The following is a 27,776-nucleotide window of genomic DNA, read 5'->3' as shown; positions in this document are numbered from 1 at the left end:
AAGATGCACCATATATTCACCAAAAGCATTCACTAAAATGCAACACTAATTGAAGTTGCCAAGAACTGGAAACAAACTAAATGCCATGTCAGTTGCAGAATGGTTAAATATCACATTGTGGTATATTCACAGAATTAGACACTATAGAGCAATAAGGGAAAAATATCTACAATGCCACACAATACTACAAATGAATCACACAAAAACAATGTTCAGTGAAAGAAGGCAGACACAGAAAGATATAGTTTATGATTCTATTTGTATAAAGTCCTAACTAGGCACAGCTAACCTATGCTATTAGAAGTCAGGATAGAGAGCATCCTTGGTTGGGCAGTCATGACTGGAAGGAGGCATGAGGAGCACACCTGGAAATTTGGGAATGTTCAGTTTCTTGGTCCTGCTGGTTACACAGGTGTGTTCACTTTGACATTCATAGCACTGTATACTTTTGATATGTTCACTTTTTTCTGTATGTGTATTATTCTTCAATAAAAATTTTTAAATGTGCAGCTGGTGTTCTGGAAAGTAGGACTGGATGTTTCTATTAATTTTTTTCCCTCATATTTTAATGCAGATTTGTCCAATGGCACCTTAAAAAGCCCGAAGAATTTAGCACTGAGGAAAGCAAAGGAGGGCAGGAGCTTAATCCTCAGGTGGCAGAGTAAAGCAACAGGCAGGCTGGGGTGCAGAGAGGAGAATTTGCTTGGGAGGAGGCCCCTGAATGAATGAATTACAAATGTCAGGGGCTTAAGAAAGACACACTGGTCAGCACTGAGTCAAGAGGACTAAGGTGACTGACATCTACAGCAGCTTCATGGGGTATGAGGAAGGATGTTTTAGGCAGCAATTGTCAATGGGACTCTGCTCATGCCATGATTTGCCTTAAATCTTGTTTCTCTGTGTGTGTGTGTGTGTGTGTGTGTGTGTGTGTGTGTGTGTGTGTGTGTGTCTGTCTGTCTTTCTCTCTCTCTCAGGCCAGATAATGCTTTGGATCAAGAATCAGTTCTTGTTTGCTTTGTTTTGTTAATATCTAGAAGACAAGTGGGTGCTGAGTGTCTTCTAGTAGTTTTTTTTGTTTGTTTTGTGCAGCTAGCTGTGTGATGCTGGGAAACTCCTGTACCTTCTCTCTGCTCCAATTTTCTTATTTGTAAAAAGAGAATTCATGTAATATTGTAAATGATAAAGCACTCTATGATATAATTATACTAAGTTCTACTACTACTAATAGCAATAGAAAACGGATTGAATGTGAAATCATGGAATCCCAAGCAAAACTTTCCAAAGTTTCCCCTTTACAGTTCTCCACTGTAAAACTACTTCTTTCCAGTTCTTTATGCCCAATTCCCTTTATGAAACCCCACTATGGGAGAGCTTCATGGGGAGTTGTTAAGCGATGGGTAGTTCTGGAGGGTGGCACCTTGCTTGGAAGCCAAGAGGGCACACAGCATCCAGTTGGTAACATCAGTGTTAGTACTGGCGGCTGGATAGAGGTTGTCATTTTAGCTCAAGAGAAAGGTCTCGCTGTTGAAGGCCAGTGTAGGCAAATAACATATTTTAAATGTTGTACAGCATATGGAAATTTCTATGACTGCAAACATTTGGTTTGGTTCTGTGCCTGTTCAACATATTGCACATTTCTAAATTAAGTGTCTTTTAAATGGAATACAGTTAGGATTCATGTCCCCTTTTGCCTGTGGGTGGAGGGCTCAAGATAGGTGTTTCACACTCGCTTTTCCAGATACACATGCATGGATCCAAATCCCAAACTTCAATTTTGTATACAAAGCCCAGAGGTAAGCTTCTGAATGGGGGTGGTGGGACTTGTGCTGTTTGTCTAATAGTATATTGGGCTTGTCAAATTCTGGCCCTTCCAGAACCAGAAGGGAGGCAGAGAACTGCAGCCCACAGTTTTTTCCCACTCTGCCAATTCTCATTTTGTAAATTTATGAGACTAATCTTCTGATGGAAAGAACTGGGGATGGGGCAATCATATTGACTTTTCATTGGTGTCTTTATATAAAGGAGAGCCTTCTTAGAGTAAGAAAAACATGTTAACTTTCATCTAATTTTCTGAACTGTTTATCATTCTTATTTTCTGATTATTAAAAAGTAATGTTTGTTTGGAAAACATGAGCGTTAAAAAGAATAAGTCAGAAGATAAAATATTTCCTGTAAGGTAATGGGTACATGGCAGGTCTTTAGACTAGTGTGTCTGCTTTTGGGACATGGTGGAAAATTTTCATTATAAAAATAATCTATACATTTACTATCCAGACTTGATCACTATTAATGCTTTGATGTGATTCCATCAAATCTTTTCCATATCAGTGTTTAATTTCTTAAAATAACAATGCTGGTACATCTCTCAGCTACTTGTTTCAACTACCTGATAAAACTTGGCAATATTTGAATTGAGCCTTCTGTGGCTTATGAAAAAGAGAATAATCTCAACTTTTCCTGGAGTAGGCTTTAAATCCCAAAATGAAAATATATGATATGAAAAATGTCTAGAATAGTAAAGTGTTCCAATGTTGTAACTATCCTTAAACACCTAGCCCATTGCCTAGTATTCAACAGGAAGTGGAACGTAGTATCTGAGCAGAGGTCAGATATGGCATGGTATCATTATGTCCTTCGACCTCATATATTTGGAGTTGTAGAGTGAATCCACATCAGTCTGAGTTGAGACGTAATTTTGCTTCTCTGCCTGAGTAGCTTTTGAAACCTGAGTTTACATCATGGAGGTTACCTAGTGATCCTCCCACTGCCCCTTCCATGAATGAAAGACTGAGTGGTTCTTAAGAGGGACCATGTTTTTATCAGGGTATGTGCATTCCTTGATAGGCCAAGATGCCATTCAGGTCCCAGATCTGCACCACTGAAAAAATTGACAAAGAAAACACATTAATCTGGGTTGCTAATGGTACCACGAGAGGATAACAAAAACCAGTACCTTCCTGTACCTTCTCACTGCTCCAATTTTCTTATTTGTAAAAATAGGATTCATCAAATATTGTAAATGATAAAGTGCTCTATGTATGATATAATTATACTTATTAACATTAAGTTCTGCTCCTACTAACAGCAATAGAAAACTGATTGAATGTGAAATCATGGAATCCCAAGCAAAATTTCTCAAAGTTTCCCCTTTACAGTAAAACTATTTCTTTCCAGTTCTTTATGCCCAATTCCCTTTATGAACCCCCACTATGGGAGGGCTTCATGGAGAGTTATTCAGCTATGGGTAGTTCTGGAGGGAGGTACCATTTAGAAATGGGCAATGTGTTGAACAGGCACAGAATCAAACCAAATGTTTGCAGTAATAGAGTTTTCCATGTCTCATACAACATTTAAAATATGTTATTTTGCCTACACTAGCCTTTGAGGACTTCTTGAAACATACTCTAGAGGCAGCAATTTCTTCTACTTTTGTATCTGTTAGAAGGAAACAGGACCAACACAATGCAGAGGTGAAGCTCACTTTACTTTAGGCCTTTCAAATTCACATTTTAGATCGTGAATTATTCCTGCAGTCTAAGTTCTAGACATCTAGAGAAAACTCAGAGATCATAAATCTATATATATATTTGGCCAATACATATGCAGTACTATATATATATATATGCAGTATATATATATATATATATATGCATATATGCAGTATATATGTAATATATATATATATTCAATGCTATTCAAATGAAAAATACCCTAACACGCACACATACACACACACACACACACACACACACACACTCATACACACATAAGCTCAACATGTGTGGGTGTCAGTTGTGAATTCAGGTAATTTCTTTCCTGGGAGGAAACAATTCCTGGTCTGTCTGTATGCAATGCCATCTGATGCTTCTCTCCTTGATAGATCCACAGAATGTGGAAAAAATAGCGTTAAGTCTCTGATTCCCTGATTGACCAAGGACAATAATGGAGGAAAACTAATTACCATTTTCTCTTATTTGGAACATAAGCACAGGCAGGTACTGAGAAGATCATCCGATCCTTTCCCTTTACAGGAAAGTCATAGGGAGATGTGAAAGATTTGGCACACTCATTGCTATAGAAAAATTTGCCAATGAGCAGGGTATTGATCAAAGTTCTGAGGAGGAGAGGTGCTTCACTGAAAGGTGCCCAGGGGTGCTTGGAGGTGGCCGCCGGCAGGACTTGGCACCAGCCACGTTTCCTCTATTCTAAGGGACCATTCATTCCTGCCTGGTGCTTCCCCACGCCTGCTTTCCTCTCCCTTTCCAGTGCCCCTTAAGGAGATGTTTTATGAACTGTGTGCAGGGATATTTTTGTGCCTACAGCAAAAATGTTGTTTTCCTAGAATCACGAATTAGAACAGATACTTCAGGAACCTAGGATCTCAGCCTCAGGAATGCAGCTGCCCAGACCCTGTGCTGGGAAGAGACCAAATATGATATACAGCATCACATCTGGAGACAGATGCTTCTTTGTGATGGACGGCACCATTCTTAGTCTTTTTCCTCTATGCTTTTTCTTTTTGAATCTTTTTTTCTCATAAATACCTGTATATATTAGTGCAAATATAAGCACAGACATGCCATTTTTGCCCCTAACGCTTGATATGAAATATAGTCAACACTATCTTTTTACTTCTGTTTCCTACTCTAACTGGAAAGGTATAATTTCATGAAAATGGATAAATTGGTGCTGCCATGGTTATACGAACAGTTACCAAAGCATAAATTTTACATGTTGATATGGGTCCATTTTTTTAAAAGTGTTACAATTGGTACATAAACCAAGCTGATGAGCCCAAACCTCAAACCTATAGCGATGTTTTCTCCACTAAAACCACCAGGTTAATGTGCTCTGATTTTAGAAAAAGTCTTTGCTACTTCTATTTTTCTAAGAATTAAAAATAATTTTTAAAATCTTTAGAAGTGAATAGGTTTCATTGGTTTCTGCCGCTAATTTACAGTAGGTGAATCCAAATTGATTTAGTTTTACAACTGTAGGCAACTTATGTTTTGTTGTTTTGAGGGTTCTGTTGTGTAGTTGTTTTTTTCATTCACTTATAACTAGATTTTCCTGAATGAATGGCCTTGTTTATATATGAAGTATATGACACGTTTATGTATTATTTATTATTCTTTAGGTATATTCTATATTATGTACAACGGAGTCTTGCTCTGTTGCCTAGGCTGTAGTGCAGTGGTGTGATTTTGGCTCACTGCAGCCTCTGGCTCCCAGGTTCAAGCAATTCTCCTGCCTCAGTCTCCCCAGTAGCTGGGACTACAGGTGCCACACTCGGCTAATTTTTGTGTTTTTAGTAGAGACGGGGTTTCACCGTGTTAGCTAGGATGGTCTTGATCTCCTGACCTCGTGATTTGCCCGCCTCAGCCTCCCAAAGTGCTGGGATTACAGGCATGAGTCACCGTGTCCAGCCATACATATATATCTTTAAATGCATGTGACATACATATCACATAGCTGTGTTTGCATATGGGCATATTTCCTGATTGATTTGAATAGAGTTGTTTATAAAAAAGTTTGTTTCTACCTAAACAGTTGAACATTTAAATGTGTAAAATATATTCTTTCTGGTTACAACTGAATTTTTAAAATTTGTTTCAAATCAGCAGAAATTGAGGTAATTACTTTAAAATTATATAATGTAGGTCGCATTCAATTCTCAGCAAATTTATATGCCCACCCCATTGAGGTCCTTATTTGTTTCATATCAAATCTCTTATCACACAATAGGGACAAAAAGCCTTCTAGCATTAGAAAAATGTTTTAAAATCCTCCCTCTTTTTATGACACAGACCTTTTATCAAAGAAAGTCTTCATAGACACTTATAATCTTTCTGATTAAATAGAGAAAAGGATGAGGAAATCCTGAGCCTTGCTCACCCTCCCTCCTCCTCCCACCAAGGAAGCCTAGAAATGGCCTTTAGAGGCCACCTGAATTTTGTGGACTGTGGTTTGTGAATTGGGTAGGATATATTTATATTAAAGAAAATTATTGTTTATCTGAAATGCAAATTCAACTGGTGTTCTGTGTTTTAATTTGCTGAATCTGGCCACCTTATTTGCAAACCACTCTCTTATTGAATGAAACTCTGTTATAAATACAAGAAGATTTTCCCATAGCAGTATGGGTAAATATCTTGGATAAGTGACAACTTGTCTAATTTAAGTTCTCTGACTACTAAAATGGGTTTAGTAATCAAGCCCCTATCTCACTAGCTGTTTTAAGAAAGAACCAGGCATTAGCCTAAAGGTTCAAGATGCATGAAGTTATCATGGTGGTTGTTTAAATTCTATTAGAAAACACTAAACTAGTAATAGCAAATCAAAGGAGTCATTCATAAGATACTTAACACTCAAGACACACTTTGTTCTCCCTAAGCTCTATTGTAGTCCAAAGTGAATGCTTTAGTAAATATTTTTAAAAGATTGAATTTAATTTCTCCACAAATTTCATAAATGAAGGAATAAATATATGTATAATAAATGGATAAGCCATATATATATTTCAAAATATACCATACGCTAATGAAAGACAGAAAGTAGCTGGGAATTCATGGCAAAGCTGTATCAAGAGAGATTTTAGTTGTTTGTTTTTAATGAATATTTGATTTGGGGTTGATAATTCTTTATTAGTTCATGTCTTATTGTAACACCTTCAGGATTCCCAAAAGGAGACCATGACATGGAACACCCTATGTGCGGTGCCATTGCTGATATGAAAGTAGATTCTAAGGCAGAAACTTAAAACCGGCTTAGCTTTAATGTCACACTTAGGCCCAGAAGGTGCTACTGTGAAGATTAAGATATAAAAAAGAGAACAAGGACAAAAGTGGAGTAGAGAACACTATCATAAGGAACAAAGATTAAAGAACCCTTGGAATGAACAAGACAGGTCCCCCACCATCCACAACCCCAGAAGCAATTTACTTCCAGATATCCCAGTGGCAAATGTAAGAGAACTGAGGCTTCTAGGTTCTGCTGAATTAAGGAAGGAAAGACTTAATTCTACTGAGTTTTGAGAGTTTACTCAATAATGCAAACAAAAATAAACCAGTGTCAGTTTGTGTGGTTCAACAACGCCTAGAATGGCGATGGGGCCAGTAATCCCTTGTCACTATTAATTAAGTACATCCTCTAACAACCCCAACTCAAGGCCGCTAATCTTCACACCTTCCTTTGGGGCCCCTGGACAGCTGCTTTGGAAGTCTTAATAAATCTCTGAGCAATCTGGGCCATGGTCAAATAGCAAAAACAACAGCCAGACATGTTATAAGATATTCTGTGAAAACATATTCAGTATTATTAGACCAGCTCTGCTGTTGGGTAGGTGATATCTCCATTCACATAAAGCCGGTAAAACTGCAATTGGCAGTCTGGCACGTAGAATCCTTCTACAAAAGGAGAAGTCAAATATTACCTAAACAGAATAACTTGACCAGTTTAGACCATGAAGTTATCACTAAAATCGGGGCAGGAAAAGCCACTCTCTTCCTATGATTCCAGCGTAACTTGGATCACTTTTTTAAAAAAGCTCTGATTTAGTGCCAAGTTTAGTAATTCTGTGTTGATCCATATTTACTTCCATTGGGAGAAAGGTCATCTCAATAAAGTCAGGGTTTCTCTAACAAGCTTTACCCTTGAATTGCAGTAAACCATGGATGGGCTTCCATATTGCCAAGATGATGAGAGATATTGAGGATTGTCCTTGATCCATGCTGGCATGTGTCCAGAAGAAGGTCATTTTAGCTAGTCCTCTGTTGACCACCCACTCAAGTCACTGCTGAGTATCTACCTCCAGGTCATGAGTCCCCTTTAGTCGTGGTGTTTTTTCCTACTCCTCTTCTGCTCCTGATGGGCATAAGAAATTCACTGGAGCCATACCTGGTATGAAGGTCAATTTTATATATCAACTTGAGTGCATCATGGTGTCCATATATTTGATGAAATATCATTTCAGGTGTTCCTTTGAGGGTGGTTTTGAGATGACATTAACATTTGATTCGGTGCACTTTGAGTAAAACAGGTTGATCTTCATAATGTGAGGGGGACTCATTCAATCAGCTGAAGGCCTAAATAGAGCAAAAACTGACCTCCCACAAGCAAGAGGGAATTCTGCCAGCAGATAGCTTTAGGACTTGATGTGAAACCTCAGCTCTGCCTTGGGCATCTAGCATGCAATTCTTCCTTATATCCATGCCAGCTGCCATAATCACATGAGCCAATCTCTTTTAGAAAATCTCTTTCTATATGTACACACATCCCATTGGTTCTGTTCCTCTGGAGAATCCTAAGAAAACTGGCTAAGAGAAACTCCAAGGGCTAAGAGCTAAGACCCTCTCCTTTCCCACTTCTTGTGCTCTTGGGCTCAGAGGCTCCTTCACCAAATCAGGTTGTTTAAGACCCCAGATGTCAAGGCACATTAGTGCTAGTGTTTTTTTCATCAGTGCTGGTGGGGTGTGGATTGATAAGGCACGTTGAAGAATAACTTGCTGGCATTTGTTAAAACTGAAAATATCTTGAGCTCATGACATGTTTACATCCTAAGCAGAGAACTGAAGTGCAAAAAATCAAAAGAGATCATTCACTGAAAATAGGTCACATAATTGAAGCAGAAGTAGCACTGTTTTGGTTTCCAGGTAACACACTTACACACAAAGGGATGAAAAACCTCCTTTCATTTTTACATAAAGCAAGATGTGGCTACAGAGAGCAGTGGACTATGCCAGCCCTTCAGGAGCTGCAATACACTACTTAGAGTGGAAGTGCAGCAGCAGTCACCAGGAAAGGCAGCAGCGTGTGGCAGAGAGAGGGGCCCCACTATGGACCAGCATCAGATCCTTCAGCCGCATCATCAGATCAGGAACAGGGATCGGGAAAGGATGAGCGTGATGGATGCCATCTGATTTTTGAAGATGAAACTTCTGGAAATAATTAAGAAAATGCCACAGGGACAATGTAGGAGACAAAGGCAGAAATCAGGAAAAAATGGATCTGTGATGTGAAAATGACCCATTTCAAGCCCAAGGCTGCTGTATCCTTGGGAAGCACCTAGCACCCTGGGAAGCATGAATCACCACAATATTAAGAAAATAAAAGCATTAATATGTAACCTGGCCCCCTCTCTTGTTCCTAGACTCCTGCATAATGGGCAGACCCTAACCGATATATTTCTTTTGGACTGGTGTTCCCTTGCACTCTGGGGAAATACCTCAATGTTTTAGAAAACAGTAAAGGACTAGAAGATATATTTACCAGGACACTTTAACTCTTTAAAGAGGAAAATGAGGTTTCTAACTGCTGTGAGCACTCGTACTCAAAGAATCCAAATTTCTGTTACCTAGCAGGTTAATAATAGCATTATGACTAGCCAAGAAGGAAGATGTGAACCAAAAACACAAACACTTTTTCTTTATTTTGTTATTTTGCTGACACCCTTTTCCTCCCTGCCAGGAAGCACAGTGACTCCTCTGTAGCAGTAACACATTTGCTGATTTCTTCCTGGGCAATGAAAACTGAAAAGTGAAGATATTTATTCCCATTTTATAAACGGGAATTTTTTTTTTCTCCAACAAAAGAAGAAAAGTCCGTTGGAGTCTTAGAGTGAATCAAGTGAACCAAGCCTTCATATTGACTCTAGTGACTATTAGATTATGCTGCATCCTTTTCCCTTATGAAATACTCCACGGATGCCAACAATTTATCTAGCATCCTTGCCACTCAGTATTTGACTTTTCACTTCCTCCCACAAGAAGAGTAGTGGAGTATATTTCTCCATTCCTTGAGGGTGGATCCAGTTATGTTCCTTGCACTGGCAAATAGAAAGAGGTGATATGACAGGGCACCTCATCCAAGTGGAGCCTTAAGTTACCTTGCCTGTTTCTATCCAGTCTCTTCCAACTCTTCCAATACCCAGGGAAGAACTACCTTGAATGCCACTTGCTTCAAGGGCAGAAGATTCACTGCAGCTGAGCACAGTTTTCATGAACAGACCCCTAAGTGATCCATAGATGCATCAGGCATCAAAACTTAATCTTATTTTAAGCCACTGGGCTGGTAATTTGTTTCATGGCAATAGCAAAGCAATGTATTCTTAAATAAATTATTATTACTTATATAGACAAAGTAAACAAGGTACATAATTGCAGAGAATATAGTGTCTTCAAATATTAAAATAAATTGTGTGTTAAAATAGTCGATCAGAAAAAATATGTCTATAAATGCGATATTTTGAGAGAGGAGAGAAAACTTTCAAAACTATTCTCTGGCTTTTACCCTTCATCTTTAAAAATTTTTAACAACTTTATTGTGATATAATTTTAATACAATAAACTCACCTGTTTTATCTGCACGATTTAATAAATTTTAGTATATTAACATAGTTGTATAACCATTACCCCAATCTAATTTTAGAACATATTCAACATCCTAAAAAGAAACCTTATGCCTGTTTATAGACAGTCTCTATCCCTACTCTTAGCCCTACGCAACTACAAATCTGCTTTCTGTCTCTAGCCATTTGCTACTTGGGATATTTCATATAAACAGGAACATAAAATATACATTCTCCTGTGTCTAGTCTTTATCTTTTTATAGGGGTGGAAAATGAAATCCCAGCAATATACAGCTATTTGATTTTTTGAAATTTAGCAAAAGCTGTTTAGGATTATGCGTGGAAATTGTTATTTTCAAAAGAAGATGAACTCATGGTTGTTAGAAAAATTTTCCATGGATGAGGGCTCTGTTGCCTTATTTTATAACCCACTGAACTATAACACAAACAATATTAAACATCAATATATACGAACACGCATTGTATAGAGTTATACTGAGACACAGCTCATATGTTTGCTAAATAATCTTTATGTGGAGGGCCAATTTGTGGCTCCTGTGTGATGGAGAGAACATTGCCTTTAGAATAAAAAATAATCTAAAAAACACAAAAATGATGTTTGTACAAAAACACCCTTGTAGTTTCTTCCAAACTCATTCTGAATTTAGCGTTTGCGTCTCATATAGCTTTGGTTTGGAGAAGAGGCACATGATATTTGCTATTATGAATACTTGGTAAAACCTGTGGAAAAAATTTCTAGACAAGGATTCAATCAATAAATACAGATGAAATTAAATGACTTCACCTTAACTTAAAAGATGCCATTTGAATCATTTGAAACAATGAGCCATCTCTGATCTTCTGATCTTATGTCATGTGAATCTGACTTGATTACCAAACACTCAAACAACATATGGCAAGCTTACAGCCCTAAAAGTCTGACTGCCCTAAAATAAGTACCCAACTTTCTAGAGAATCCCAAAACATCTTCACAAATATAATTTGTAAGGTTCAGAAACCTTACAAAGTACAACATTTCATAAGAAACACTTAAGCATTTAAATAGTTTCTGCAAATGTACCTCAGTCAGATAAAACAATTCATTAAACTCAGGATAAAGAAAGAGATTCAAGTGTAACAACAGAAGAATTCATTATACCATGATAACTTTCATAAATGCATATGGAAATAGAAGCCTGTATGAAATTAAATGAGAAAAGAATAACGTGAAAGTTCAGCTAGCATATTCGAACTCTACTCATTAAATAGCCCCGTTTAATGGTAGCTAAGAGTAGCTCCAGATGGTGTCAAGTATCAAAGGTCCTGGTCCATATGACCCCTGTGATGACAGACCAAGAACTTTGCCTTCATTGCTTTGCATTAGTTAAACATGCTGATGAAAGATGCACCTGGGGCTCTTTGGTCCATCTGCCCCATTATTTCATCTCTGAGTTCCCTGGTTCAAACTCAGGGGGTCTATCTCTGACCAGTGCTTAGTTTGGATACCTAAATACTATATTAATGGAAGTACATGTACCAGCACATTAACATAATATTTAATATGTAAAGGAATCATTGGCAGAGATTATACATTTATATTTGCAGTAGAATGGTGGGCAAAATAAATTTTTCCTTGGTACAACACATATGGTTCCACTTTCATGGGTCTGTCGGTCTCCCAGGTTAATGACGTCTCACCATATGCCCAAGAGCAAAGAGTGATGGAACTGACATGCTGCTCAAACGGACTGAAACAAGCTGCATCGTGTGTCCTCGGCCATAAAATGCCATTCAAGTGACCCCATAAGCTGACATCTGCCCACATGTTGTACACATTTGGGGCCGAGTTGCCCATTTGTTCCTTTCTGATCTAAATGTAAATATTATACATAAAAACATTTACAAGTACAATTCTCTTTCTTTTTTAGAGGCCGAGGAAAGGCCAGGTTGGCTGGGTACCAGTTGCAGCCTTACTTTTGAGGTTGGCTTTGTGATTCTTTCAACGTGTCTTGGTAAATTATATGCTTTGCTTCAAACCAATTAAGTCCCTGTAATTGACATGAAAACTAGTATGCATTTCTTTTCTCTCAAGATACAAAACAACTTTTTGAAAACATAATGTAATCCCTGCAAGTTAATAGGGCACTCAATCCGTAATTTTAAGTACTGGTTGAGCTCTGCTTTTATTTTATTATGTCTCTCTACCTTGATAGCTAGTGCTATAGCACAGGCTACCTGGAATATGATGAAGTTAGAAGTGCAGAGCTGTGCAGTTTCTTAAAATTGGCTACAAAAAAAAATCTGTAGAGGTGATGTCACTGATGTTCTCTTTATCTTTATTCAAAAGTATGTTTCCTCATTGATGATGAGCAAGAGAGTTTTACCAAAAATTCAGAGTTCAAACACTGTTGCTCATTGGGATATTTTATTTTTTGTTTACAAGAAAAATCCTGCAGCTGACATTCAATTTTTGTACTAAACTTAATTTGCATTTCTTAACATCTTTATATGTTAACCTTATTGACACCATATGTTCAAAGAAGAAAATGTGATGTTAACTGACACAAAACAAAGATATCGAACAAAAACTGAGATTCACAAAAAAGATGTGAGTTCCTCATCCCTTTTACCACCTCGTGAAACCACTGTGGCTTTTCTGGGGGGAATTATGCTATGACAAATCCACTCACTGTTTCTCCATGGAAAAATATTAATACAACTTCAGAGGAAGATAGCATGATTGTAATGCTATGCTCTGAGTGCATTCCACTGGGTGGATTGATTTGGAATCCACATTCTATGGTAGCTAGTTCAAGTGTAGACTCTGGTTGTTCACGTACAAACCAGTTTGAATAGTCACAGAAGTGATCAGTCAATTCAGCTGAAATTGCTTTACTGTTGAATGGATTGCTAAACATTGATTAACAAGTAATAAAAGCAACAGAAAACAACAGTTGACTGTTGTTGTGGTTGTTTTCTCCTGAGGCATGGTTAGAGAGCTCTATGACTTTCTACAGGAATTGGAATAAAATGCAGTCTTTCCCATGACTTAAAAAGTCCCGTATAATCTGAGTCCTGACGACTCCTCTGACCCCACTTCTTTCACAGCTCCCCATGCTCATTTCTATGGAGCTGCACAGATTTCCTAAATAAAACCCATTCTAACTCGGGCTTGCACACACTCTGCCTTCTTCCTGGAATGCTCTGCTCTCATACATTTGCAGGGCTTGCTCCCTCCATTTGGTCCCCAGTTCAGGTGTCACCTTCTCAAATAGGCTTTCCTCCTTAGCTGCCTGTTCACAACAGCACCCTGCTCACCCACTACTCTTTGTGTCCCCAATTTCTTGTGTCTTAAACTGTTTTTCATGGAACTTATTATTTTCTGACATTTATTACATCTTTATTTGCATATTTTATTTTCTTTTTTTCCCCCCACTAAGAAGAAGGCATCAGGAAGGAGTCATGTTTTGTTCACAGTATTATTTGTATTGTGTTGCATTTATACTAGATTTACTTCAGTTGTAATAAATGGGCTTTTTGTACGTGTATTGTTTACTTTATGATATGGTTTGGCTGTGTCCCCACCCAAATCTCATCTTGAATTATAACTCCCACAATTTCCAAGTGTTGTAGGAGGAACCCAGTGGGAGGTGATTGAATTAGGGGTACAGGTCTTTCCTGTGTTGTTCTCATGATAGTGAATGAGTCTCATTGGATCTGATGGTTTTAAAAATGGGAGTTTTTGTGCACACGCTCTCTTCTCTTGTCTACCTCCATGTGAGATGTGTCTTTCACCTTCTGCCATGATCGTGAGGCCTCCCCAGCCACGTGGAACTATAAGTCTCATAAACGTCATTCTTTTGTAAATTGCCCAGTCTTGGGTATGTCTTTATCAGTAGTGTGAAAATGAACTAATATAGTTCAATGAACAGTATTCATTTGGTATGAGCTAGAATATTCTGTTGCCCAAAAGTACCACCTTCTAAAGCATGGCCAATATATGCTCTTTTCATATATCAGTACTATACTTTATTACACTAAACGCATAAGAGATTTAGCTTATACAGCATTGTTATTTGGATATTGTATTTTAAAAACTGTAGTTCTTTTTTTTCTTTTCTTTTTTTCTTTTTTTTTTTTTTTTGATAGGGTCTCACTCTGTTGCCCAGGCTGGAGTGCAGTGGTGTGATCACAGCTTACTGCAGCCTCAACCTCTCAGGCTCAGACGATCCTTCTACCTCATCCTCCTAAGTATCTGGAACCACAGTCACACCACTATGTCCAGCTAGTTTTTGTTTTTTTGTTTTTTTGGGGTTTTTTTTGTATTTTTTTGTAGAGATGGGGTTTTGACATGTTGCCTAGGTTGGTTCGAAACTCCTGGGCTCAAGCCGTCTGCCCACCTCAGCCTCCCAACATACTAGGATTACAGTGAGCCACTGTGCCTGATTATAGTTCATTTATTAATCTGAAAAATGTTTATTAGACATCTAATGTATGCCATTCATTATACTAGTACTTCAATGTGTCTTCAAATGAACCTTCTAGTATAGAAACTATTATTACCTGAATTTTACAGAGGAAGAAAACAATAAAAAGAGAACTGGGATTTGAACCCAAGTCATGGGTACCAGAATCCACACTCTTAACTTCCATACTGTGTGCTTCTTCCTATAATTCAAACTAGGACATGGGGAAAGTGGGAACAAATGGAGGTTACAAAACTGAGAAACATCTGGATAATGAAGAGCATTGTAAGTCATTTTCCATCTTAGGGTTTATCCTAAGAGGAGTGGACAAATGGCTTTACTTAGGAAACAGTCACTTTAAAAAGGGCATTGTGGCTGCATTCTGAGAAAATTAGAGTAATTTAGTAATCTGGGTTACAGATGATTTGAAACTTCACTAAATGAAGAGTAGCAGAGACTGAGAATATTCAGGAGCTTTTTGTAGCAGAGACTGAGAATATTCAGGAGCTTTTTAGACAGTAAAATGGCCAGAATTTTGTGAGAAGATATCAAGGTAATACCTAGGTTCCAGGCTTGGGTGAGTGGATGGAAGAGCACTAATGTCCAATGGAATGTTCTTTAATGATAGAAATGCTGTCAATCTGTGTCGCTGAATATGGCGCTACTATCCACAGGTTACTATTGAGCACTCAAAATGTGTCCAGTGAGATTGAGAAATGGAATTTTAAATTCTACTTATCTTTAATTGATTTAAACCTTAATAGGCACATGTGGCTGGTGGTTATCATATTGAATGTCTTAAGACTAAAGATACTGGTGAAGACACATAACTAGTATATTAGAGTTACTTCATGAGGGAGGTAGAAGAATGGGAGACTGTGTTGAGAAACTGATGCGTAGGCATTGTTGTGAACTGTCCAGCATTTTTTCCCCTCCTCTTTTTAACTATCTCAGCCTTTGTTTTGGTATCTACACCTCCCTTAAGCAGCCTGTACATGGTCGGTAGCATGAATTCTATTCCTGGATCCAGGGCTTTAGATGGGTGTCTTAGACCTCTGCTAATCAATGCACAGTAGTCCAATCATGATGCAACATTCCTAGTTCTGGGGTAAAAATGTGACCCAGTTTGGCTGGGTGCGGTTGCTCACGCCTGTAATCCCAGCACTTTGGGAGGCTGAGGCGGGCGGATCTTGAGGTCAGGAGATCGAGACCATCCTGGCTAACACGATGAAACCCTGACTCTACTAAAAATACAAAAAATTAGCCAGACATGGTGGCAGGCGCCTGTGGTCCCAGCTGCTTGGGAGGCTGAGGCAGGAGAATGGTGTGAACCCGGGAGGCAGAGCTTGCAATGAGCCGAGATCGTGCCACTGCACCCCAGCCTGGGCGACAGAGCAAGACTCCGTCTCAAACAACAACAACAACAACAACAACAACAACAACAGAAGTGTGACCCAATTTGCATTGGTGACAATGAAGGCAGCCTTTTCTGGAGGGTTTTTGGGGAAAGGTTTGCACTCTCCTCCCTGGTATCGTGGGAGAATCCCAGAAAAAGATGGGATTTGACACCTAGAAGATGCTACTGTGGAAAGCAGGGAGCAGAGAAGGAAAGAAACTCAGTCCAAGAAGACCATATCGAGTCACTGAATCAATCCAACCTTAAGTCCATCATACTTATGGGCTTTCCGATTTCATAAACCAATAAATCCCTTCAGAGTTTAAACCAGCTTGAGTCATCTTTTCTTGCCTGTAATATACAGAGGTTTAGTCCATAGAAAGGATCTGTCTGAATTTACAATTTCAGAGATGCAAAAATTCCAGGAATTGTGGGTCAATGGAGATAAAAAGACCAAGCATTTGAGAAGCCAGAATGTAAAAGGGGTTGTCCTTGTCATTCATGATGATGGTAGGATTTGGGGTACAGCAGAAGCCATGAATTAGGTAACAAATATTTAGAAAAGGAAAATATTTGCTGGGATTTCAGTGAGATAATAATGAAATGATGGCAGTTATTGCTGAATGGCATCTAGCTTTTCTGTCTTCGTTTTTTTTTCTTCCTTTCTGCTATGCATGTTTTCAAAAGTTATTTAAGACAGCTTTGAAAATATACATAGCCATAGCAATATAAAAAGTGGAAAAAATCATATTGAAATGGAATATAAAGCTTGGAAGATAAGATGAAGCCAGGGGTGAAGTCAGGACACAAAATACATTCTAGACCATCTAGTGCATGTGCCAGAGCTAGCTACAAATCTAGCTCTTAGTTTTCTGTTCACTTATGATTTCATCTCTCTATTTTCTCTATATATGAAGATTTCACAAGATCAGGCAGCTAGATCAGTTGAGCTCCTCTTTAATTACTAGTTCATATTATGTGCCCAGGGTCACAGAACTAGTGCTAAAGCTTGATTTTGGAGACAAGTCTCCAAATTTTCAGCCCTGAAGCGTTCCCACTAGACCACATTGCATCTTGAACACAGAAAAATTTCGTGCTAGACATCCTTTTTCCTGGACTGCAGGGTCACAGGAAAACCAAAGCATTAGTGGAGTATTTTTGTTCGTGACTCTGTACCCTGGTGACTGAGGATGGAAAAGAGTCTGACAGACAGACCAGGCCCCTGAAGGACCCTGTCTGGACAGCCTGACCTAGGAAAGGAAGCATTCCTGCCCAGTAGCTGAGCTCTGGCGAGGCCCGGGCTAAGGCAGCAAATGTTCTACACCTCAAGATTAAGGAGGTTTGGCAGAGGCACAAAAGGGGAACTGCAACTCACCAACCCGTGCCAGACCTGGCCACCGTGTGCCCTTGGTGGTTGAAAGATAAACATCGTCTGCATCCTGTCAATGATCTCTTTGCCCACTGCCTCAGTTCACCTGTCTGCCCCTCCTCAACCTGTCTCAAACTCTAAAACTCTTGTGAAGTCCAATACCCATTTTGTCCAAGAATTCAACATTTAAGTGAGAAAAACATCTCCCTGCAGACTTCTTATTATGTTAAAAACCAAAGCCAAACTTTCCTTCTCATCTATTCATGTAATCCATGTAATCTTCCATACATGGAATAAAGGAAAGCGTCAGTGTCGATTCTGAGTTCCCGAGGCATGTGTGAGATTGTTTTGACATAGACAAAGAACAAACCTAAGTGCTGCCCTGTTTTCTTCTGGTCATATGAGTCTTCTTTAGGAATTTTTGGGTGGAAAAATGGCAGGGATTGAGCGTAGCGGCATCTTCCCACATTTCCAGCATATTCTAAAACATCAGTGGGTGATATGATTTGGCTGTGTCCCCACCAAAATCTCATCTTGAATTGTAATCTCCATAATCCCCACATGTTGATGAAAGGACCCAGTAGGAGGTGATTGGATCATGGGGGTAGTTTTCACCATGTTGTTCTCATGATAGTGCATGAGTCTCATGGGATCTAATGGTTTTATAAGCATCTGGCATTTCCCTTCCTTGCACTCACGCCTTCCTGCTGCCTTGTGAAGAAGGTGCCTGCTTCACCTTCTGCCATGATTGTAAGTTTCCCAAGGCCTCCTCAGCCATGCTGAACTGTGAGTCAATTAAACCTCTTTTCTTTATATATTACCCAGTCTCAGGCAGTTCTTTATAGCAGAATCGTAATACAGTGGGATTCCAGTCTGTTCAGTGAAGGGTGAAGACTTATCCTGCAGATGGAGGCAAACGTGCTCCTACCACAAACTTTCATGTGACATTTTGAGGAGGAGTCATGAGTCCCCTGAGAAACTCATGCATACATCACCAAAAGGACCATGGACTCTGAACGAAGAATTTCAGTTTGATGTCTTGGGCAGTATCAACTAGAAGGTTCTAAGAGTGGACTGCTTGTTTTAAAAAACAAACAAAAACAAAAAAAACCACTCATCTTTGAACTGTCCAGACACTGGGTCTATGTCCTGGCGTTATGACTTACAAGCTGTGTGACTTTGGGCCTGTCACTTTGCATCAGTTTCCTTGGTGTAAATGGAATAATGGGATAATAATATCCTCACTGCCCATCTCACAGAAAGCGAGGAGCAAGTGAGAAATATATCAGATTTTCTATATAATCTGGAAAGACCAAGATCTGAATAACAGGAGGCAAAATCTGAGTTAATTAATGTGTGAAGTTTATTCATGGCATGGGTTTCTTTTTCTTTCTCTTTCTTTCTTTTTTTTTTTTTTTGGGGGATGGAGTCTCGCTCTATCACCCAGGATGGAGTGCAATGGCACAATCTCGGCTCACTGCAACCTCTGCCTCCTGGGTTCAAGCAATTCTCCTGCCTCAGCCTCCCAAGTAGCTGGGATTACAGGTGCCCACCACCACGCCCAGCTAATTTTTGTATTTTTAGTAGAGATGGGGTTTCACCATGTTGGCCAGGCTGGTCTCAAACTCCTGACCTCAGGTGATCTGCCTGCCGGGGCCTCCCAAAGTGCTGGGATTACAGGCGTGAGCCACCGTGCCCAGCCCACGGCATGCATTTCTTACACTTGCAGCATCCCGTCTTCTCAGGTCCAGCACCAAATGCTGGTCTCCTGTTTCCTCTAGCCAGGTCAGCTTCCTGTGCCTGTGCCAAGCTTCGGATCCTTCTTGCCAGTTTCTTCCATCTTTACTGTACGTGTCCTGAATCTGTTACTATGGAATTGCGCTAACAAGGGACCATTTGAAGCTCAAAATCATAAAAGGTTTTTTAATGGTGAGATGATTAGATTAAACATTAATAATTGATTGTTTATAAAGGACAAATGTGGGTGTTAGGTGTAGCAATTGTAAATCTTCTATCCCCTCCCTCCTAACCTACGCAAACAAATACACACAATGAAATAAAGTGGATCTTCTTGAACTAGGTAAGGCAGCAGATAGTTTTTTATTCCTGCTTCAAGTTACTGCTCATAGGTATAGACCTGGTTCACAAACACAAAGCTACCCTCTCCATCACATAGGGACCTTTTATTAACGTACATTGTTTTATGACTTACTACAACAACAAAAATCCTCCTCACTGTGTCTTTAAAATGGGTGTTACGTGATGCATTTTTAAAATAAAATCATAAATGATAGTCATTATTATTATTAAATAGGCATGGCAATGGTTTACATGCATGTCTTGTACATAGAGCCCTTCATAACGATTATTCTGCACATCATCACCATGTCAGACTTGGCAGGGTACAGTGGCAGACTTGATGTGCTTTCACTTGGTGAAGAGGAGCCAACCTGACCCAAAGAAGAGGCTCCATCCACTGTTATTGGAGCTGAGGAGTTGGGAACCTCCACAAACCAAGGCCCTTACACTACCAAGGTGAAAACTGCCTCCATTGGGAGTGATTTTTGTGATCCATAAAGCAGGCATGGAAGTGACCAGAGGAACTCTGCGATTTCACATCTAGACAGAGTGTGTCCAAGGAAGCGATTGCCCTCCTCTAATTAGTCTGGGCATGCTTGGCAAATTTTTTCTTTTCCCTTCACTCTTCCCTTCCCTTCCCCTCTCTTTCCTTCCCCCTCCTTCCCTTTCCCCTCCTTCCCTTTCCCCTCCTTCCCTCCCTCCCTCTCTCCCTTCCTTCCTTCCTTCTTTCCTTCATTCCTTCCTTCCTTCCCCACACTGTGAGGAAATAAGTTTGTTTTTGTCTGTAACAGAAATCCATAACCTTTAGGGTATTATTGAATGAGTAGGCCTAGTCTATTTTTAGATCCCACCTCACATTCTGTGGCTCAGTTCTTATTTGTATCCTAGGTGAGGAATTAAGAGCCCAGATGAAAGGAAAGGTATTAAAACGGGCCCACGTTAGGTATTCTTAACAATTTAATCTTGCTTGAGGACTCAGCAGCCCTCCCTGATTTGTGTCCTTGAGCACCTACAGACCTCAGCTCTGTTGCAGCAAACAGAGACATGAGGGCCACGATGTTGCTTTGTCAATGCCATCATGGGTTGTGCCTTGCAACTTGTACAGGCATTCACTCCTATTCCTTACTGCAGAAAGTGTATTAAATCTTTAACAGCCTGAACTGAAGAATCCAAGCTTTGAGAGCAGAACATTATTACTTTTTTTTCGTCATGCAATAGTAAGGAGAAAAAATATTTTGTGCTGTAAAAGTGGAGAAATCTGAGGAGCTCCATTTAAGTGTTTTCCTCTTTTCCTTTGGAACCCCCATCTCTTCCTCCATGGGCAGCAGTAATGCCATGATGATGGGGCCAAAAATATTTAAAAACATTTTAAAGTTACCACTGAAAGGAGAAAATGGTACATTTACATTCATCTTTCTCCACTTAATGGCATTACCAGAGATGCCTTGTCCCCCTTGAGCCATAAATTGAGACATCACTCAACAGTTGTCCTGGCAAATTTTCCCCAAAAAGGCCACTTATGAAGTGACTAATCACATTGGAGCCTAATTTACTGAACATTTAAGGCCATTCAGGTGGGGGGATTAGAAGACTGTGAACCTGGGCTATGATCCATTATGTCCCCAGACTGAGAACTCATCCTTGCATCCTCTCCAAGGAGACGGGGCCATTTTTCCTCTCCCATCAAACTACAGAAATCACTGCCTGGTTGGGCAAAGCTACCACATTACTAGCTTTCGGCTAAAACATGTAAAAGCCCTGGTCTTTCTGGTCTGGAATGGACATTAACTTCTCCCTGGGCAGGTTTAGAAAACGCGAAGGTATATTCAAGGTCAGAGAGGAAATGAAGATTATAAGTGTAATGTAATAGTCATTTTCCCTGAATTTGGATAACCTAGTGACTTAAATCAGACAGACTTTAGTTCTAAACTCTACATGAAGCCTCCTTGTATTTCAGAGCTCACCTCCCTCTGCGTACTTTCTGCTGCTGGAAAGGAGCTTCGTTATAGGGAAAGCTATTAACATTCATGTTCCTCTGGAAGTGTATGTCATAAAGTAATGGGCCTGACCCTCTTTGGAAGAGGGGAGCAGATGACTGACTGCCTTTCTGGCGAGGTGTGGATGTCACCTCCATCTTCTCATGTATCAAGTAGTAATGCAGGGCTGGCAATCTACTATATGTTTGCTACCCTCTTCCATGTGCCAACTTGTTCTCTTCCCTGGTGCTGTTTTTGGTCACATGGCAGCTATGCAGTAACCCAAATCTACTTTTAGAGAGGTAGGTATGCTCATTCAATGGTTATGCACATAGCCGCTTTTTATCCACTGCAAAACTCTTAGGAATACCAATCTTGAACCAGAAAATATCCAATAACCACTCTAGACTTAAAGTGATATAAAATAAGAGAAACTTAAAGGGAACATCACCTAATAGTCATGCATTTCACTTGGTATGCACTTGAGATTGAGCTTACTGGAGCACTAGAAAATCAATTCATATCACGAGGTGACTCAGCAAATCTGTGGCACTATCTCTTTAGTAACGGACTGCTCTTCAATTTCTTGCCCCTGGATACTCAGTTTGAGTTGAGGAAGAGTGCAGCATGTTCTGTGAGTGAATTCCAGTTACAGAGAAGAGAGGAAAGAAGTGGGGGGCAAGGGGGAGGGAACAGTTAATGAGCCAGAGTGTCTATGAGTGTAAAGTCACGTACCTGAATCTTCGGCTGCCAAGGAGAATTAAAAAATACAGATGCTTTTATGCAGAAGTGACCACATTATGCAAGACAACATAACAAGACTCCTGTGCTGGTATTAAAAGGTTCTTTGAATGTGAAGTTCCTTCAAAATGACTAATGCCAAACAAAGGAAATTCTTAACTGTTTCTAAGGAATTCAATTGGTAGTCTGGGCATCATGGCCCCTGCTTGCCTCCCTCGATTAAAATTCTCAATCCAGTTTTTTTAAAGGCATTTCCAAAAACCAAGAAAACTCATCACAAAGTTTTCAACCCTATATGAAATTCAAAAAGAGGTCTGTAGTAATGATAAAACTTAAAGTTTATATTAAATCCCTGAATATGGGATAGAATCAGACAAATGCATATAGGAGTTAATAGTTGTATTTCTGATGAGCAGTAGGGAGAAAGGAGCATTTAACTCTATCTTAAGCCATTTTATTTTATTCAGCAAAAACAGTTGTGAAGTATGTGATCATGAATAAATTCCCATGAGGCTTAGAGTCTTAAAAAAAAGGCACAGATGTCCACCAAAAACTATAAGGTTGACAAAAGAATATTTCTATTGTGAGAGCACAGAAAGGAGAGTGCTTAGAGGATCAATTGTTGAAATTTTACTTTGAGCCATGTCCATACATTCAACACAAAACTGATTTATCAAATGTCAGCAAATAAAATGCTTGTTGACTGACTCTATTGAAGGCACTTCTAATAGTCATGCAATTGGTCACTAGGCTGTTCAGAGCATGGGCTCTTTCTCCTCTGGTTTAAATCTGGGCTTTGCCACTTACTAATTTTATGACCACAGGTAATTTATTTTAGATCTTTCTTCTTCAGTTTTCTCACCCCTAAAATGGGGATGACAATAGTACCTATCCACAAGGTTGTTCTGACGATTAAGTCAGTTTGTACAGGCAAAGTGCTTGGAACAAACAAGTGTTCGGTGTATTAGATATCATTATCAATATTAGCATATCAACATATGTATAATCAATAATTTTTGCTTTGAATATACAAAAGAACAGCAAAAGAAACCAAACCCAATATAAAACTCTGTTGAGATTCTAAAGGTTGATTCTGAATATTGTCCACTCTGAGTAAGGTCTTGTGAATACATACAGCTAAAATATGAGTGTTGTGCTTAGTGATAATGAACATGAACAAAATGATGTATGAGCCCCAGGAAGCCAAGAACACATCAATGTGAGATTTTCTCTTGTCTAAAGGATAGACCAGCAGCTACATTAGGAAAAAGATCCCTTCTCTCCCTTCCATCTTTCTTCCTACGTGTCTCCTCTCTTTGCTCTACTTCCTGCCCCTTCTTTTGTTCTCCTTATCCTCTCAGTGAGGGATTTCAGGACATACTTCCAAGAGGTTATAGTAACCTAACAGACATGCAGACAAACAAAAAATACCATGCAGACTGATAAAAGCTAAGTACAATGTTGATACAGTTTGGATGTTTGTCCTTTCCAAATCTCATGTTGAAATGAAAGCCCCAGTGTTGGAGGTGGGGCCTGGTGGGAGGTGTTTTGCTCATGGGTGCAGAGCTCTCATGAATGACCTGGTGCTGTCCTCACAATTGTCAATGAATTCTTGTGAAATCTGGGTGTTTAAATGTATGGCACCTTTCCCTCTTCTCTCTTGCCCCTGCTGTCACCATGTAATGTGCCTGCTCCCCCTTCACCTTCCGCCATGATCGTAAGGTTCCTGAGACCTTCACCAGAAGGAGAGGCTGGAACCATACTGGTACAGCCTGCAGAATCATGAGTCAATTAAATCTCTTTTCTCTATAAATTACCCAGCCTCAGGTACTTCCTTATAGAGATGCACAAATGACCTAACACAGAAAATGTTCGTCTAGGGTGATCATGACAATAGGAGTAGGGTGAAGACAGAGCAGAATTTGTAGTAGAGGTGACGTTTGGGCTAAGTCTCAAAAAATGAGGAAGGATTGAGCCTTCAATGAAAATGGTGCAGAAAAGAAAATTTAAATAGACAACCACTATTGTCAAGTATGTTGATATCTATTCAAACATCAAGCTCTGTTCATGTATGATAATGCAACTTCATCTTATCACTCTTGACAAGTAGATAAAGACTTCAGTCACTCTAGATAACTAAGATTGAAGAGATGACGCAGTGTCAATCTCAAATTTTATTTCAAAGAGGAATAATATGAGAAAATACTCCTTGTGAATGTCAAGGCAAATAGGAATGCGACATATTCCTCTGTTTCATCTGCCATCAATTCTCAACTTCATCTTTGCATTTTATCTACATAAAGACATTTCTTTCATAAAGGGTAATGGTCTCAATTGGAGATTTATAAGCTGGAAAGAGTTAGGTTCCCTCCAAAGCAGACATGAGGAGTTGAAGTATTGAGGGCGGATTGAGTTTAAGTGCTTTTAGTGTTTATTTGAGTAAAATAGGTCCACTTTTCGTGCGTTTATCTAATGGCATTTCAGAGAAAGAGGAGAAAGTTTATAGCAGAGAGAAATCTTACTTATTGAGGGATTTGTGTGACAGGCAGTCACTGAATCAGACAAAATAAATTAACAGAAATTTAATTAGCTTGTATCGTTCTTGTCAAAACTGACAACTAAAACATGGAGAAAAGATCATGTTTTCTCCAGAGAATGTTTTAATTTTTTTCTGCATCAGAAGAAAAACTTTGCTTATACAACTATTTATAGAATTTACATGAACTGCTGTTTCCTACATTTCAGGAAGGTCCAAGGGTTGAGTCACAAATGATCAGGGGACTTTCTCCTCACTCCCCGCCCAGGATCTATAGAACTGCTTGTCTACCTCTATATATTTTTAGCTGTCCGGTTTGCTATCCGACCTAATCTGTCTTTTATGGAGTTTCTGAATAAGAACAGAAGGACTCTCGCCTAAGTCAAGCTGTATTTGCCAACTCAGTAGTTATCACAACTTTCACTTTCTTGCTGGTACAATGGGCCTACCAGATGGTGTAGGCAAGATGATTCCAAGCAAGTCATTACAATCTACCAGCCACTTGACCTGGGGGCTCCCAACCCTTGGGGCCACCCAGGGAAACTGCTGCCTTCCCTGCCCTGTCCCCTATCTCAGGACTGCTACAATATGAGGAGACCTCGGGGGTGCCTACAGGAACTGGAACTGTGAACATCCATAGGTGCTGATAACATCACTGCTTGCCTTATGAAGGCCCTCTTTAAAGGCTATACCTCTCTCAAAGACAGAGTTTCAGAGACAAAGTTTCTACCTCCAGGAGAACGATCCCAGCAGCAGTGGCATTGCCACCACCACCAGAAACTACCCAACTGCTTCATTGTCCCCACCTGTACCCCTACAGGGAATAGGTTGTATGTGGCCCAACACCACCTCCCCCTCTGCTCCCTCAGAGATCCTGTCTCTACTTTTCCACCAGTCCTTATGTAAAGCACTCTCTTCCCCCTCTCTTGTAGGTTCTTTGTTTCCAACAGAGGACCTGATGTAGCTGAGTGAATGGAAATAGACCTACTTACAGCGGGGACAGTTATTTCTTTGCCAAAAGTGACGAGGATGTCCTGGATCCTCCAGTGGGATTTAAAAATTGCATTTTCCTCTAGGAAAATTACACATGATAGTTCTTATACTTTTGATTAATTTATTTATCTTTTGAGGCAGGGTCCCACTCTGTCACCCAGGCTGGAGTGCAGCAGTGCAGCAGTGCAATCTCAACCCACCACAGCCTTGACCTCCTGGGCTCAGGCGATCTTTCAGCCTCAGCCTCCCGAGTAGCTGAGACTATAGGCGTGCACCATCACACCTAGCTAATTTTGTTGTATTTTTTGTAGAAACTTGGTTTTGCCATGTTGCCAAGGCTGGTCTCAAACTCCTTGGCTCAAGGGATCCACCCACCTCATCCTCTCAAAGTGCTGGGGTTACAGGCATGAGCCACCATTCCCCGCCATTCTTACGCTTTTAATCTTACCATATAAGCAAACATTTGTAACTAGTCTGGAAGTTATTCTTTGAAACAAAGTAAATGGAGAAATTAAAATGTTTATTCCCATAGAGACAAACCCATGTTGAGTAAAGCATGCTAAAATAGTTCTGCAGACTCCTAAGTATAGGATGCAGGTGACGGTGGCTATTTGGCTCAAGAAAGGTCACAATAGTAATGATTATCATTTGCAAAGTGCTTGCAGAGTATTAAGCATTTGCTAAGTGCTTTACATACAGCAACCTTTGGAGCTGATTTCTATTATTATTTTTATTTCACAGCTGTTTCATAGGAACAGTAGCTTAGAGGGATTAAATAACTTGCCCCCGAAAAACACAGTTAGAAAGTGGTAGAATGTGGATACTTCTACCTCCTATCCTACTTCCCTCCCAGCTCCTGTTTGAGTTGATGGCATATAATTTCATTTTCATCTAGAGATGAGACACTTAGGAATAACCTCATTGGTTAGATTCCCCTATCCTCTACAGGAAAAAAAAAATCACACTCTTTATAATCACTCTATAATCAATGATTCTCTACTGGAGATGAGACTGTCCCCCCTCTCAGGGGACATTTGGCAATGTCTGGAGGCAATTTTGGTTGTTATAAATGCAGCAACAGTGCAACTGGCATCTACCAGATAGAGTCCATTTATGCTGTTAAACATTCTGCAACGCACGGAGCAGTTCCCACAACAAAGTATTATCTGGTACAAATGTTGGCAGTGATGAGATTTTGAAACCTTGGTATAAGTGAAAGTAATACATGGTATTTAAGGCATATTACCTAGAAAAAATTCAGGTTTAAAGTGAGTTATTTATTATGCTACTTAGTATACTAGATCCATTACGAATATAAAACTTCTTTTATGTGTGTGTGTTTTTTTTCAATTCTGTGTATATTTTGGTCCCAACATATCTGTTAGTTTTTCTTTCCAAGAGATACCGTTAACTCTTCAGGGAAGGGCCCCAACATTTTATTTGTTTGTGATCACCATAAGTTTAACACAATCTCGATCTGTAATCAGTAGTTCTGATTAGAAACAAAACTTATTTGTAAGCAGAGGTGAAGCAGCCATGTCAAGTGAAATGTCAAGGTGATTTTGAAAACTGTGCCTTTGGCAAATACCATTGAGCAGTAAAAAAGCATCTGATATAGTTTGGCTGCGTTCCCACTCAAATCTCCTTTTGAATTGTAGCTCCCATAATTCCCATGTGTTGTGGGAGGAATCTGGTGGGAGATAATTGAATCATGGGGAAGGTTTCCCCTTATACTGTTCTCATGGTAGTGAATAAATCTCACAAGATCTGATGGTTTTATAAAGGAAACCCCCTTTTGCTTGGTTCTCATTTTGTCTTGTCTGCCGTCATGTGAGATGTGCCTTTCACCTTCCATCATGATTGTGAGGCCTCCCT

At 39.6% G+C, this 27,776-nt stretch overlaps 6 annotated features.

Annotated features, from left to right (window-relative positions):
* Positions 7,784-27,776: part of a sequence comparison, noted in NCBI's record as "sequence_comparison; minimal region of overlap from various 46,XX DSD and 46,XY DSD CNVs; the exact 5' and 3' borders have not been mapped, this range is defined by the b1-b16 subfragment span", that runs on past the window's edge. NCBI's record gives its function as "important for gonad or genitalia development {active_cell/tissue: ovary | testis}" and the evidence as "EXISTENCE:sequence alignment evidence [ECO:0000200][PMID:30552336, PMID:28317102]".
* Positions 20,615-22,748: an enhancer, noted in NCBI's record as "b9 fragment used in the reporter construct". NCBI's record gives its function as "activates a beta-globin minimal promoter in COS-7 monkey kidney cells cotransfected with SF1 and SOX9 {active_cell/tissue: COS-7(+SF1 and SOX9)}" and the evidence as "EXISTENCE:reporter gene assay evidence [ECO:0000049][PMID:30552336]".
* Positions 22,250-22,661: an enhancer, noted in NCBI's record as "eSR-B fragment used in reporter constructs". NCBI's record gives its function as "activates a beta-globin minimal promoter in COS-7 monkey kidney cells, HEK293T human embryonic kidney cells, and TM3 Leydig and TM4 Sertoli testicular cells cotransfected with SOX9 alone or with both SF1 and SOX9, or in ovaries and testes of transgenic mice embryos, and synergizes with the eSR-A and eALDI enhancers in COS-7 cells cotransfected with SOX9 and SF1 {active_cell/tissue: COS-7(+SOX9 or +SF1 and SOX9) | HEK293T(+SOX9 or +SF1 and SOX9) | TM3(+SOX9 or +SF1 and SOX9) | TM4(+SOX9 or +SF1 and SOX9) | ovary(E12.5-E14.5) | testis(E12.5-E13.5)}" and the evidence as "EXISTENCE:reporter gene assay evidence [ECO:0000049][PMID:30552336]" and "EXISTENCE:transgenic organism evidence [ECO:0001131][PMID:30552336]".
* Positions 22,268-24,220: an enhancer, noted in NCBI's record as "b8 fragment used in the reporter construct". NCBI's record gives its function as "activates a beta-globin minimal promoter in COS-7 monkey kidney cells cotransfected with SF1 and SOX9 {active_cell/tissue: COS-7(+SF1 and SOX9)}" and the evidence as "EXISTENCE:reporter gene assay evidence [ECO:0000049][PMID:30552336]".
* Positions 22,514-22,518: a transcriptional cis regulatory region, noted in NCBI's record as "SOX9 motif bases deleted in the eSR-B deltaSOX9 reporter construct". NCBI's record gives its function as "important for eSR-B enhancer activity in COS-7 monkey kidney cells cotransfected with SOX9 {active_cell/tissue: COS-7(+SOX9)}" and the evidence as "EXISTENCE:site-directed mutagenesis evidence [ECO:0005528][PMID:30552336]".
* Positions 24,589-25,142: an enhancer, noted in NCBI's record as "SR4 fragment used in reporter and transgene constructs". NCBI's record gives its function as "activates an SV40 promoter in TM4 Sertoli testicular and KGN granulosa ovarian cells, or an E1b minimal promoter in TM4 cells, or a Hsp70 promoter in genital tubercle and various other tissues of transgenic mice {active_cell/tissue: TM4 | KGN | genital tubercle | neural tube | eye | whisker follicles | anterior stomach mesenchyme | cranial base mesenchyme | proximal tongue | mammary placode | incisor placode}" and the evidence as "EXISTENCE:reporter gene assay evidence [ECO:0000049][PMID:27989796]" and "EXISTENCE:transgenic organism evidence [ECO:0001131][PMID:27989796]".

The sequence above is a fragment of the Homo sapiens genome, chromosome 17 (assembly GCF_000001405.40).
Source record: "Homo sapiens chromosome 17, GRCh38.p14 Primary Assembly".
NCBI classification, from domain to species: Eukaryota; Metazoa; Chordata; class Mammalia; order Primates; family Hominidae; genus Homo; species Homo sapiens.
The sequence above is the reverse complement of the archived record's forward strand: the minus strand, read 5'-3'. Positions and strand labels throughout refer to the sequence as shown.